Consider the following 13,046-nt stretch of genomic DNA (forward strand, 5'->3'; position numbering starts at 1 on the left):
TTACTCATCCCCAATCCAGGGGCCCACCTCTGTCTAATGTTTCTCCATAATAGCTCCCAAACTCTAACACCCTCCTTATCATTTCTACCATCTTGTTGCTCTATGACTGCAGCAAGCCCTGTAACTGGCCTCTCTGCCTCCAGGCTTCTCCCGACCTAGACTTGCTTACATTGCTGTACAAGTGAGGTTTTTGACATTCTCAGTCTTGTCACTCACTGCTTAAACTCCTCAAGAGTTTTTACTCCCTTCAGGCCAAGGGCTATATGAAGCCCTTCAGATGTGGCCATTGCTTGCATCTCCAGCCCCATCTCTCAGCAGTGCTCTTAACACTCCCAACCATCATGAGCTAATTACTATCCTTCCAACACGCCATGCTCTTTCACACCCCTCTTGCTTTGAACACACTGACTCTTCTGCCTGAAATACCTTTCCCAGTTCCCTTCTGATATGGTTTGGCTGTGTCCCCACCCAAATCTCATCTTGAATTGTAGTTCCCATAATCCCCACATGTTGTGGGAGGGACCTGGTAGGAGGTAATTGAGTCATGGGGGTGATTACCCTCATGCTGCCATTCTCATGGTAGTGAATGTGAGTTCTCACAAGATCTTATGGTTTTATAAGGGGCTTCTCTCCCTTTTGCTCAGCACTTCTCCTTGCTGCTGCCATGTGAAGGACAGGTTTTCTTCCCCTTCCACCATGATTGTAAGTTTCCTGAAGCCTCCTCAGCCATGCTGAACTGTGAGTCAATTAACTTCTTTCCTTTATAAATTACCCAGTCTCGGGTATGTCTTTATTAGCAGTGTGAGAATGGACTAAAACACCCCCTTCACTCACTTTTCAGTCTTCAAAGTGCACAGCCATCCTTTACTGCCCCGTGCAGCACCTTCAGGCCTTGAGCTCTATGCAGGGAGGTAAGCCACAGAAGTCACAAGCACATCTTTTATACTAGTGCACACAGCTGAAAACTCACAGACTGGTACCAAACCAGCTTGGTTCTGTTCTGCTTCCACTGCCTGTCAAGACTGTGTGCTCTGGGCAAGGTACTTCAACCACTGGGTCTTGGCTTCCTCATCTGGAAAATGAAAATAAAACTGCAACTTTATAAAGCTTTTCTGAAATCAAATGCAGCAATGTACATAAAAGGCAAATAAGCTCACTCTATGTTTTACCTAATTTTCTTTTTATCCTGTCTGTGTATTTCTTAAGCCAACCATCTTACTTCCTTTTTAGAATGCATCAGGATAGACACAAATAAATGGAAACACCATTACAAAGCCCCTGCTCACACTTCAGAATTCAGATTGCATTACCTCCTCCAGGAAGTCTTCCTTAATCACTCTCTGCTCGAGTCTCATTTAGATGATCTCCTGTGTGCTTGCATATCGTCTGTGCATACCTCTGTGTTGAGAGGAGTGGTAAGAGATGGGGCTGGAGACTCAAGAAAAGGCCACATCGGAAGGGCCTCGATCCTTTCCCCTGAAGGGAGTAAAGGCTCTCCAAAGACTTTCAGCAGTGAGTGAAAAGACCAGCCGAGAATGTGAAAAACCTCATCTGGACACAAGGCAAAATAACTATTTTCTCCCTTGGTTACCTTTCCCATTCCCTTTCTTCAAGGGAAAGAACCATGTCTTATTTTACTTGGCATCAGCAGCTCTCAGAACAGTGGCTTGACCAATACCAAGCATTCAATAAATGTTTATTGAAGGAATGAATCAATGGCCACCCACAACCTATACCTCTTACAGCCCATTTAATGCCCTTTAGCCCCTTCCATAGGTATTTGCCTGGAATGTTTGTAAGATTTTTGAAAATCTCAGAAACAACACCAGCCCTCCACCCATGGGAAGATGTGTTTCAGGCTAACACCTGTGCTATTGTTGATGCCATTGCCCCAAAGAAGACCAACCTCTCCTTCTTGCCCATATAAGTTGGCTCTAATTTCAATGCTGCTGAAAACCTCTCCTCTTCCATAAATTATTTTTTCAGATTGCTCCAGCCCATTGTGATCTTTCATCCTTCAAACTCCTTTAACATCTAGGGCCTACACCATTAATCTGACAATCACCATATACTGCTTAATATTGTTGTAGTCTGCTATTTACCTTCAGTCTGCAATTTAACTTCCTTAAGTTTATTTCTTGTTCCCCATTGTAGAGAATATCTCCCTTAAATAGCTGCCAAGTCTTGCCAATCATGGCCTTTCCTGTAGTGTTTTGCATGTGTGTGCACACATGTGTTTTTAATTCACTTGAAGACAAAGAGACTCCCCTTAGGAAGCTTTATTTTCTGTTTGCCACTTCCCTAGGACCCAAGATACCCTGATCCCCCTCAATTCATTCTCTGCCTTTCCCTGCTCTTCTTCCCAAGGAAATGAACACCTTCCAACTTTATCACCAGGGCTCCTTTGCCTTCTGGCTTGCATTTGTGTTCAACCAATAGAAGGCACAGATAGGTAATAGATGGGTGGGAGGACAGTGGTAGGGAATGTCTTCCCTTGCTTGGCCCATTCTGTAGTGTTTGAGCCCTTCCAGGACTATGGCTTCTCTAGGGCAGCCCCTCTTCAAAAGCTGTGCCCCCCAGATAAGCTCCAATGGCATCATTTCTTCCCTTTACCTTTTCAGGCCTGGTGCCTCAACATCCTTTTTTGATGCTCTTAACTCTGCCCACACTTCTGTAAATAGTCCCTTTATTAAAGGGACTTTTATCTCTTCAAAAATCCCCACAGAATATTCTGTTTCTTGCTGGGATCCTGACTAACACAGGAACTTTCCATTTAGTTGGGATAAGACTATGGGAACCTTATAATTTATCATCCAAACCAGGACACTTCTGAGAGTGAAAGGGGGCACTATTAATTAAACCATGGCAACGGGCGCAAATCAGAACTGTTCCAGGCTACCTGGAATGAATGAGCATCCTAGGTAAGTCAGTCACATAAAAAGATAATTGTTATAATGAAGAGATAAAAACATTTCTAAAAGAGATAATATTACAGCATAGATTAAGGTAAGTGCCAAGGGTGGAATAGACTTGCAGTGCTACAGCCATTCCAAGACAAGAGAGATTATTTCTCCTGGGGAAAGGCATTTGAGATCAGCGGGTTGCTCAGTTCTCCTCCAACTAAATGAAGTCACACAATCCATGTGTGCTTGGCCGATTTTGTAGATTTTCTCCAAGAAATTTCAGTCCCAGTTGGGTCCCCCCCTCCACCCCTCACACACCCAGTGTAACTGTTCCTATTTCTTTCTATTGTTTAGGCTCTGAGTTTTTAAGGAAAGCAAATTAATTTAAATCTTAGCCAATTATTCCTTTTAAAAAATACCAAATGCATTCCTGATTCAATTATAAATCATTGTAAATATCTTATATTTTTGATTCTTTAAACCACGTTTTAGCTTCATTTTGCAAAGATATCTAAGAGGTGATTTATAAGCTTTGCTTGCAAATACAAACATTTCTGCTAGTAATCACATAAAGCCTAAGTAACCCTAGAAAGCTTCTCTATGTATGCATGTATGTATGTTTACCTTGTCTCTTAAACAAAAGAGTTTGACAATTAACCAATACTCTAAAGCCTTGTCACCCTGAGCAAAGTGAACCCAGACTCATTGCACCCCCACTCCTAGCTGATTCAAGGCTACTTGGCCAGGAAATGTTTCTAATGCTCACGTTGCTAGCAGAAGCAAGTTACTATGAGCCCCAGTGTGTGACTTCAGGCTTGCCAAATCACTGCTTTGTTCAGGCATTTCATACTCAAGAGAATAGTATATAAAAACACCCACATCCCTGCCCAGGAGCAGAGAGCACCATGTAGATTAGGGCAGCCAGAGTTCCTGCTCTACTTCCCAACCAGCTGGTGCTGGTTAGGATTAGACCAGTGGGAGTTGGGGTTGAAAAGGTCCCTCTTGAGAGAGTCAGAAAGGGTTCTACAAGAACAAGGCAAACAGGAAAAGAAAGCAGTAACTAGAGACAAAAAGCAATGGCAGATGTACAAATCACACACAGGAAATAGCACAAATCAACACAGATAGTGTTAATAAATGCAGATAGTGTCAGATAGTGAACCAAGTAGGTCCATGCTATGCCCAACATCAAAGAAAACAGTTAAGTATGCCCCACCATGTAGCTGAAAGGCAGATAGCTAGAAGGCTTTTGCTATTGACACTAGCAAGACTCTATCTCAAACAACAACAACAACAAAGTCAAATAGAGCTTTAAACCTGAATCATTTACATCTTTACTTCATAAAATGTAAAACTACTTTTTTACCCAAGACTTAAAATATAGAATTATGTAACTTCTACTTTAAACAAAATGAAAAATGTTTTGAGTATCAAACAGTATATTATCTACCTTGTAGACAGCATCTTCATCTAACACTGCCACTGTGTTAGCAATTCTTAAATGACATCAAACTAGAAGAAAAGCTGCTCCTACGTTGTTTTTATTTAATAAGACAAATTTGGCACTAGACTTTTTCTAGAAATAGCATTCATAGTATATCGATATAATAGTAACATCTTGTTTTAGGTTAATGAATTCCTATTAGGAAGCAGCACTTTGGGACAGTTTTTAGTGACACTAATTTAATTCTATCATTATAGTCCTCTGACCTGCCTTAATTCCAGGATCATCTGAATTCTAGGTTAAGGAATGATTATTAGCCAAACCTGGAAACAACTACAAATTGTATTATTATAGGTAACCCCAATTTAATAGTGACTAAAAGTCATAACTGTCACCATTAAAAATAGCCATATTTCATATCTTCAAAACTATTCTATTTACAATACTTTATATAATAAATAACTTACAGCAGTATAGTAACACGCCTCAAAAAAGTTCTTTTTTCACTAATTCCTAGAGGTTTCTTGGTTACTTTCCTTCATAAAAACACATCAAATGTGAGTTTACGCTATGAGAAAAACAGGATTTGAAAATAGATAGATATTTTCCATTATGGCACAAATGTTTAAGGCCGAGTCAGCACCAGAAATGTTCGGGGCCTGAACGTGTTTGTTTCCTCACATTAGTATGAAGAACTGTCTGAGTTGAGAAGGCTGAAAGGGGAGGGCAGCTTCTTCTTGACCTGAGGCCGTGCAGCCCCGACCGATGGGAGGCACAAGGTGCTGGCTGACTTCTGTCTGTTCTTGTTGGTGCCCCAACTCAGGAAGGAAAGCTTCTTGGAGATTTTCTGGGTTTTATCAGTTTTGTTGTCATCATCAATGGCTAAGCAGATCATGGAGTACGTTTTCTGCATTCCCACGGAGTATGTGGCACTCTTATTATGCTGCACATAGAAAAGAAAAAGGGCGTCAGACATCATCAAGATAGATGATAAAAACTACGAAGTTTGGCCAGGCGCAGTGGCTCACGCCTGTAATCCCAACACTTTGGGAGTCCGAGGAAGGTGGATCACTTGAGGTCAGGAGTCCAAGACCAGCATGGCCAACATGGTGAAACCCCATCTCTACTAAAATACAAAAATTAACCAGGTGTGGTGGTGGATGTCTGTAGTCCCAGCTGCTTGCAAGGCTGGGCACGAGAATCACTTGAACCCAGGAGGTGGAGGTTGCAGTGAGCTGAGATTGCACCACTGCACTCCAACCTGGGTGACAGAGCAGGACTCTGTCTCCAAAAAATAAATTAAACAGACATAATTCGGAAACTCAGGTGACCAATGCTTATATAGAATTAGGTTCTTAAAACAAGGACAAACTGTTTTTCTTTTTTGAGACAGGGTCTTGCTATGTTGCCCAGGCTGGTCTTGAACTCCTGGGATCAAGTGATCTTCCTGCCTTGGCCTCCTGAGTAGCTGGGGCTCTAGGTATGTGCCACCAGGTGCAACAAGGATAATTTTTGTTTGTTTGTTTTTTGTTTTTGTTTTTTTTTTTTTTAAGACGGAGTCTCACTCTGTCGCCCAGGCTGGAGTGCAGTGGCACGATCTCGGCTCACTGCAAGCTCCACCTCCCGGGTTAATGCCATTCTCCTGCCTCAGCCTCTCTGAGTAGCTGGGACTACAGATGCCCACCACCACACCTGGCTAATTTTTTGTATTTTTAGTAGAGACGGGGTTTCACCAGGGTCTCGATCTCCTGACCTCGTGATCCACCTGCCTCAGCCTCCCAAAGTGCTAGAATTACAAGCATGAGCCACCGCGCCCAGCCCAACAAGGATAACTTTTAAGGAATGTACTCAATAGTAACAATTTAAGCTTAGGAGCCACAACTCACATTTTAAGGTTCTTCTTCTATTTGAGAAAGTAATAATACTAATGGTCACGAATATGAAAGTATAGGATGGGGCGTGGTGGCTCACGACTACAGTCCCAGCTACCTGAGAGGCTTAGAGGGGAGGAATGCTTGAGCCCAGGAGGTTGAGGCTATATAGTGAGCTGTGATTGTGCCACTGCACTCCAGCCTGGGCAACAGAGTGACACCTCTGTCTCAAAAAAAGGGCGGGGGGGAAGGGAAGAGGGGAAAGGAAAGGGAAGAGGAGAAGAGAAGGGAAGAGGGAAAGGGAAGGAAAAAAAAAAGAATATGCAGTGAGCAATAGGTCTCCCTGTCACCTGGGCTTCTAGGCCCTCCATGTTATACTTCTAGAGATGATGTGCATGTACAGGTATTTCTGTATGTACATAAGTATATTACCATTCATTTTCTTAAAAGGAATATACTGCACTATTCTACACCTGATTTTCTTTTTTCTTTTTTTTTCTTTTTCTTTTTTTTTTTTTTTTAAGATGGAGTCTCGCTCTGTCGCCCAGGCTGGAGTGCCATTTTCATCATTTTCAAGTGTAGAGTTCAGTGGCATTAACTACATTCACATCATTATGCTCCACTGCCACCATCCATCTCTAAAACTTTTTCATCTTCCTCAGCTGAAACTTTGTACCATTAAACACTCTCTACTGTTAACTTTCCAAGAATCATGTAGGATTCAAACTGGAAATCTAAGGAAGCTTGCTTTCTGAAGACTTCCACATGGGCTATCACCAGCTTCTAAGGTTTGCCTAACATTGAGATTGTTTAGTTCGCCACATGTTTATTGATGGTCTACTATGTTCTGGCACTAACATTAGGCATACAATATATCGCTGCAATAGTTGAGGACATTGTTCCTAATATAAACCCTAAGAGGGGCCGGGCACAGTGTCTTACACCTGTAATCCCAACACTTTGGGAGGCTGAGGTGGGCAGATCACTTGAGGCCAGGGGTTCAAGACCATGGTGGCCAACATGGTGAAACTCCATCTCTAGTAAAAATACAAAAATTAGCCAGGTGTGGTGGCACACACCTGCAATCCCAGCTACTCAGGAGCTGAGGCAGAAGAATCACTTGAACCCAGGAGGTGGAGGTTGCAGTGAGCCAAGATCACGTCACTGCACTCCAGCCTGGGTGATGGAGTAAGACTCTATCACAAAAAATAAATAAATAATAAATAAATAAATAAAATAAACCCTCAGGAATCTGAGTTATGCAGCAATAAAGTAGGGGGTACTTTGAGCCCCTAAGGATGGAGATGCCTCTTCCTTTTCTGGAAAACTGACCACTAACTCCACCATGTTTTACGGAGCACATACAATGTCATTTAAAACAATAATAAAACGAATAATCCTGGAGACAGATGTGAGGCCTGAAAGCATTTCCCAACCCTCAGCTGCTCAAAGTCCATTGTGTATCAAAACCACTGCCTTATAAATACCCTCAGTTCTCTTCCATCTGCCCCCAGCAATGCTAACTTGCTCATCTCCGCCCTCTGCCTCCCCTAGGGCCTGTATCTGAAAGGTTGTGCATTGCTGGAGGACACTCACCAAGGCTTCCCTTGGAATTCTAACCTGACCCCAAACCTCTAATAGGCACCCATTTCCTGGCACTCTTGTGTGTCCCTAGTAATTTCGTTTCCTTTTCTCCTGTATACTTGTTTCTTATCTTCGCTCTCCTCCTGAAGCCACTCACACACCCTCCTGAAATCCCTGCCGTATACTTCATGGCATCCATCCCCCAAGACCAAGCCCTTCTGTGTGCCTGGATCCCATTCCCTCTCTCCTCCAGGAACCCTTGCCTCCCAGATCTCTACACACACACACGCACACACCCCTCTCTCTCTACACACACACACACTCCTCTCTCTACACACACACACACACCCCTCTCTACACACACACACACACCCCTCTCTACACACATACACACACCCCTCTCTCTACACACACACACACACTCCTGCAATGCATACCATCACATTCTTTGAAAAGCCTTTCTTGGCCAGGCACAGTGGCTCACGCCTGTAATCCCAGCACTTTGGGAAGCCAAGGCGGGCGGATCACAAGGTCAGGAGATTGAGACCATCCTGGCTAACACGGTGAAACCTGCCTCTACTAAAAATACAAAAAATTAGCCGGGCATGGTGGCGGGCACCTGTAGTCCCAGCTACTCGGGAGGCTGAGGCAGGAGAATGGCATGAACCAGGAGGTGGAGCTTGCAGTGAGCTGAGATAGCGCCACTCACTGCATTCCAGCCTGGGCGACAGAGCGAGACTCTGTCTCAAAAAGAAAAAAAAAAAAGTAAAGCCTTTCTTGACCCTATTCCCCTCCAGGTCCACCCCAGTATCATACCCACATACACTCTCTCTCACTCCTGCAATGTGTACCACTACTTTCTTTGAAAAGCCTTTTTTTTTTCTTTTGAGACAGAGTCTTGCTGTCACCAGGCTGGAGTGCAGTGGCCCAATCTTGGCTCACTGCAACCTCCACTTCCAGGTTCAAGTGATTCTCCTGCCTCAGCCTCCCAAGTAGCTGGGATTACAGGCACATGCCACCATGCCCAGATAATTTTTGTATTTTTAGTAGAGTCAGGGTTTCACCATGTTGGCCAGGTTGGTCTTGAACTTCTGGCCTCAAGTGATCCACCTGCCTCAGCTTCCCAAAGTGCTGGGATTACAGGCTTGAGCCACTGTGCCCAGCTCCATTTACTATTTCTTTCCCTGCCACCCACTCCTCGCTCAAATCCACCAGGGTACCCCTGTAGAACTCTTAGGACTTTACAGAGCACAGTTTAAAACCACTGTGTAGGCCTAACTCTTCCATCCTCTGGATGAGAAAACTGAGGCCCAGGGAGGGTATGAACGTGCTGAAGGTTACACAGCTTGTGAACGGCAGTCAGGGCGTAATTCCAGAGCTTGATTCCAAGCTTAGATTTGTTCAGTTAGGGATCCCCACTGTAGTCAAGAGGGTAGCCAAGGGCAGCAGGTCATCGGTTCAGCCAGAGTGCTAGGCTAAATGCTCTCTTTATTTGATTTTGTTTGAAAGGTTCAGTCGCTAAAAACAGTGCTTGGCTGTCATTATCTAAAATCCTTATCATAAAAATTAATAGACAAAAATAAATTATTTTTTAAAAATTATTTTTAAAAAACCAGGGGCTGGGAATGGTGGCTCACTCCTGTAATTCCAGCACTTTTGGGAGGCCAAGGCAGGCCAATCACCGGAAGCCAGGAGTTCAAGATCAGCCTGGCCAATGTGGTGAAACCCCATCTCTACTAAAAATACAAAAATTAGCCAGGCATCATGGTGGGTGCCTGTAATCCCAGCTACTCGGGAGGCTGAGGCAGGAGAATTGCTTGAACCCGGGAAGCGGAGGTTGCAGTGAGCCAAGATTGTAGCACTGCACTCCAGCCTGGATGACAAGAACAAGACTCTATCTCCAAAAAAAAAAAAAAGAGCCAGGTACAGTGTCTCACACCTGTAATCCCAACTATTCGGGAGGCTGATTCAAGAGGGTCTCTTGAGGCTAGGAATTCAAGATCAGCTTGGATAACTTAGTTAGACCCCGTCACTACAAAATTAGTTAAATAAAAGATGAAAGGAAATTACTTTTGGCCTGGTGCACTGGCTCATTCCTGTAAAACTAACACTTTGGGAGGCGGAGGCAGGAAGATTGCTTAAGCCCAGGAGTTTGGGACCAGGCTGGGCAACAAAATGAGACTGTCACTACAAAAAAAAATTAAAAATTAGCTGGGTATAGTGGTGCACACCTGTAGTCCCAGCAACTTGGGAGGATTTTTTTTTTTTTTTTTGAGATGGAGTCTCCCTCTCTTGCCCAGGCTGGAGTGCAGTGGCATGATCTCGGCTCACTGCAACCTCTGCCTCCTGGGTTCAAGCAATTCTCCTGCCTTGGCTGCCCAAGTAGCTGGGATTACAGGCACCCACCACCACCACACCCAGGTTTCACCATGTTGACCAGGCTGGTCTAGAATTCCTGACCTCAGATGATGAGAAGGGAGGATCTTTTGAGCCCTAGAACTCGAGGCTATAGTGAACTATGATTGCACTATTGCACTCCAGTCTGGGCAACTGAGTGAGACCCTGTCTCAAAACAAACAAGACAAAACAAAAAACAACAACAAAAGAAATTATTTGGCCGGGCATGCTGGCTCATGCCTGTAATCCCAGCACTTTGGGAGGCAAGGTAGGCGGATTGCTTGAGCTTAGAAGTTAGAGAACAGCTAGGGCAACACGGTGAAGCCCCATCTCTACAAAAAATATGAAAAATTAGCTGAGTATGGTGTTGCATGCCTGTAGTCCTAGCTACTCAGGAAGCAGAGGTGGGGGGATCACTTAAGCCCAAGAGTAAAGGCCACAGTGAGCCAAGATCGCGCCAGGGCAATGAGAGCGAGACTGTGTCTCAAAACAAAAAACAAACTTTTTTTTTTCTAGACAGGGTCTTACTCTGTTGCCCCGGCTGGAGTACAGTGGCACGATCTCGGCTCACTGCAACCTCTGCCTCCCAGGCTCAAGCGATTCTTATGCCTCAGCCTCCCACGTAGCTGGGATTGCAGGTATACACCACCACATCCTGTTAATTATTGTATTTTTAGTAGAGATAGGGTTTTGCCATGTTGGCCAGGATGGTCTCCAACTCCTGGCTTCAAGTGATCCACCTGCCTCGGCCTCCCAAAGTGCTAGGATTATAGGAGTGAACCACTGTGCCCAGACTAAAAACATTTTTTTTTTTTGAGACAGAGTCTCGCTCTGTCACCCAGGCTGGAGGGCAGTGGCACGATCTCAGCTCACTGCAAGCTCCACCTCCTGGGTTCACGCCATTCTCCTGCCTCAGTCTCCCAAGGAGCTGGGACTACAGGCACCAGCCACCACGCCCAGCTAATTTTTTGTATTTTTAGTAGAGATGGGGTTTCACCATGTTAGCCAGGATGGTTTCGATCTCCTGACCTCGTGATCCACCCGTCTCAGCCTCCCAAAGTGCTGGGATTACAGGCGTGAGCCACTGTGCCCGGCCTAAAAACATTATTTTTAAAAAAATTAAAGACATCCTGCTGGGTGAAAAGAATAAACATCATGATCATGGTTATCATCATTATAATGTCTATTGTGAATTGAAATGTAGCTCATGTTTGGCCCTCTTGGAAGGGCTTTATGTAAACTCAGTTTATCCTGAGGCTCACAGCTATTCCCTGACTTGCTGAAGGCCACACAATGGTGGTGGAAAGCCAGGATACACATCTAGACTGTCTGAGTGCAGAACCCTTGCTTTTAGCTATTACAGCAGCCCCTTCCTTGGCCTGGTGTAAAGATGTCACAGGCTTGAAAGTCAAGCCTTTGCACCTCTCACAGGGGGCAGGGCATGCCCCATAAACTCAGGCCTCTGCTGATGGGGTCCCTACTCCAACCTTCAGTGTATGGTTCGGCTCTTTTCTCTAACCTCCTTTTGGACAAACTTCTTTTCTGTTTCTGCTGGGGACCTTAATCACTTGTCCATAAACTCCATGCATTTTGTCCCTAAAAATATAATTTCTTATGATCCCTTCTCCCAAGATGCTCTGAGTCCCTTGACTTTATCTTCTTTTAAAATTTGAAGTATATCAGGTGCGGTGGCTCACGCCTGTAATCCCAGTACTTCGGGAGGCCGAGGTGGATGGATCATGAGGTCAGGAGTTCGAGACCAGCCTGAGCAACGTAGTGAAACCCTGTCTCCACTAAAACAAAAATTAGCCAGGCAGAGCGGTGCCCGCCTATAATCCCAGCCACTCAGGAAACTGAGGCAGGAGAATCACTTGAATCCTGGAGGCAGAGGTTGCAGTGAGCCAAGATCACGCCACTGCACTCCAGCCTGGGCGATAGTGTGAGACTCCGTCTCAAAAAAAAAAAATTTTTTTTGAGATATAATTCACATACATGCATAAAATTCACCATTTTAATACCCTTCTGTGGCTTTTATTTATTATTTTTGAGACAGGGTCTTGCTCTGACACCCAGGCTGGAGTGCAGTGGTACAATCATAGCTCCCTGCAGCCCCAACCTCCCTGGGCTCAAGTGATCCTCCGGCCTCAGCCTCCCAAGCAGCTGGGACTACAGGTGTGTGCCACCATGCCTCGCTAATTTTTTTTATTTTTTGTAGAGACAAGGTCTCGCCATGTTGCCCAGGCTGGTCTCGAACTCCTGGGCTCAAGCGAACATACTGCCTCAGCCTCTCAAAGTGCTGGAATTACAGGTGTGAGCCAGCATGCCAAAACACCAGTGATTTTTTAGTATATTCACAAAGTTAGGTGACCATCACTACTACCTAATTTCAGAACATTTCCATCCCCCCAAAAAGAAACCTTCTACCTTATGACCCTTCAGCAGTCCCTCCCCACTCCCATTGCCCAGCCCCAGCACCATCTACTTTCTGTCTCTGGATTTGCCTATGCTGAGCATTTCATATCCACGGACTCAAAATCCATTGGCTCTCTGGCCCTCTCTCAACTGACTTCTGTTGCCACCTCTCCACCAAAGTGTCTTTTCATCCTGCTGCCAAATACAATAGGCACAGCTAAGCCAACCTCATTCTCCACCTCTCAACTGCATTCAATGCAACCCATCACTCTCTCACTGCAAAGCTTTCTCCTCTTAATTTGAGAAGTTCCTTTCCTCCGACATCTCTGAACTCTCCTGCATTTTCTTTGCACTTGCTTCTCTTCCAACTGATCTCTAAATGTTTAGACCTCAGCCCTAGCCCCCTTGCAGGGAGCTGCATTTTGTCTCACAGCC

At 44.7% G+C, this 13,046-nt stretch overlaps 1 pseudogene; it reads right to left on the reverse strand.

Moving 5' to 3' along the window:
* RHPN2P1 (rhophilin Rho GTPase binding protein 2 pseudogene 1) overlaps positions 4,832-13,046 on the reverse strand; it is a 48,446-nt pseudogene continuing 40,231 nt past the window's right edge.

Source organism: Homo sapiens, chromosome 15 (genome assembly GCF_000001405.40).
Source record: "Homo sapiens chromosome 15, GRCh38.p14 Primary Assembly".
NCBI classification, from domain to species: domain Eukaryota; kingdom Metazoa; phylum Chordata; class Mammalia; order Primates; family Hominidae; genus Homo; species Homo sapiens.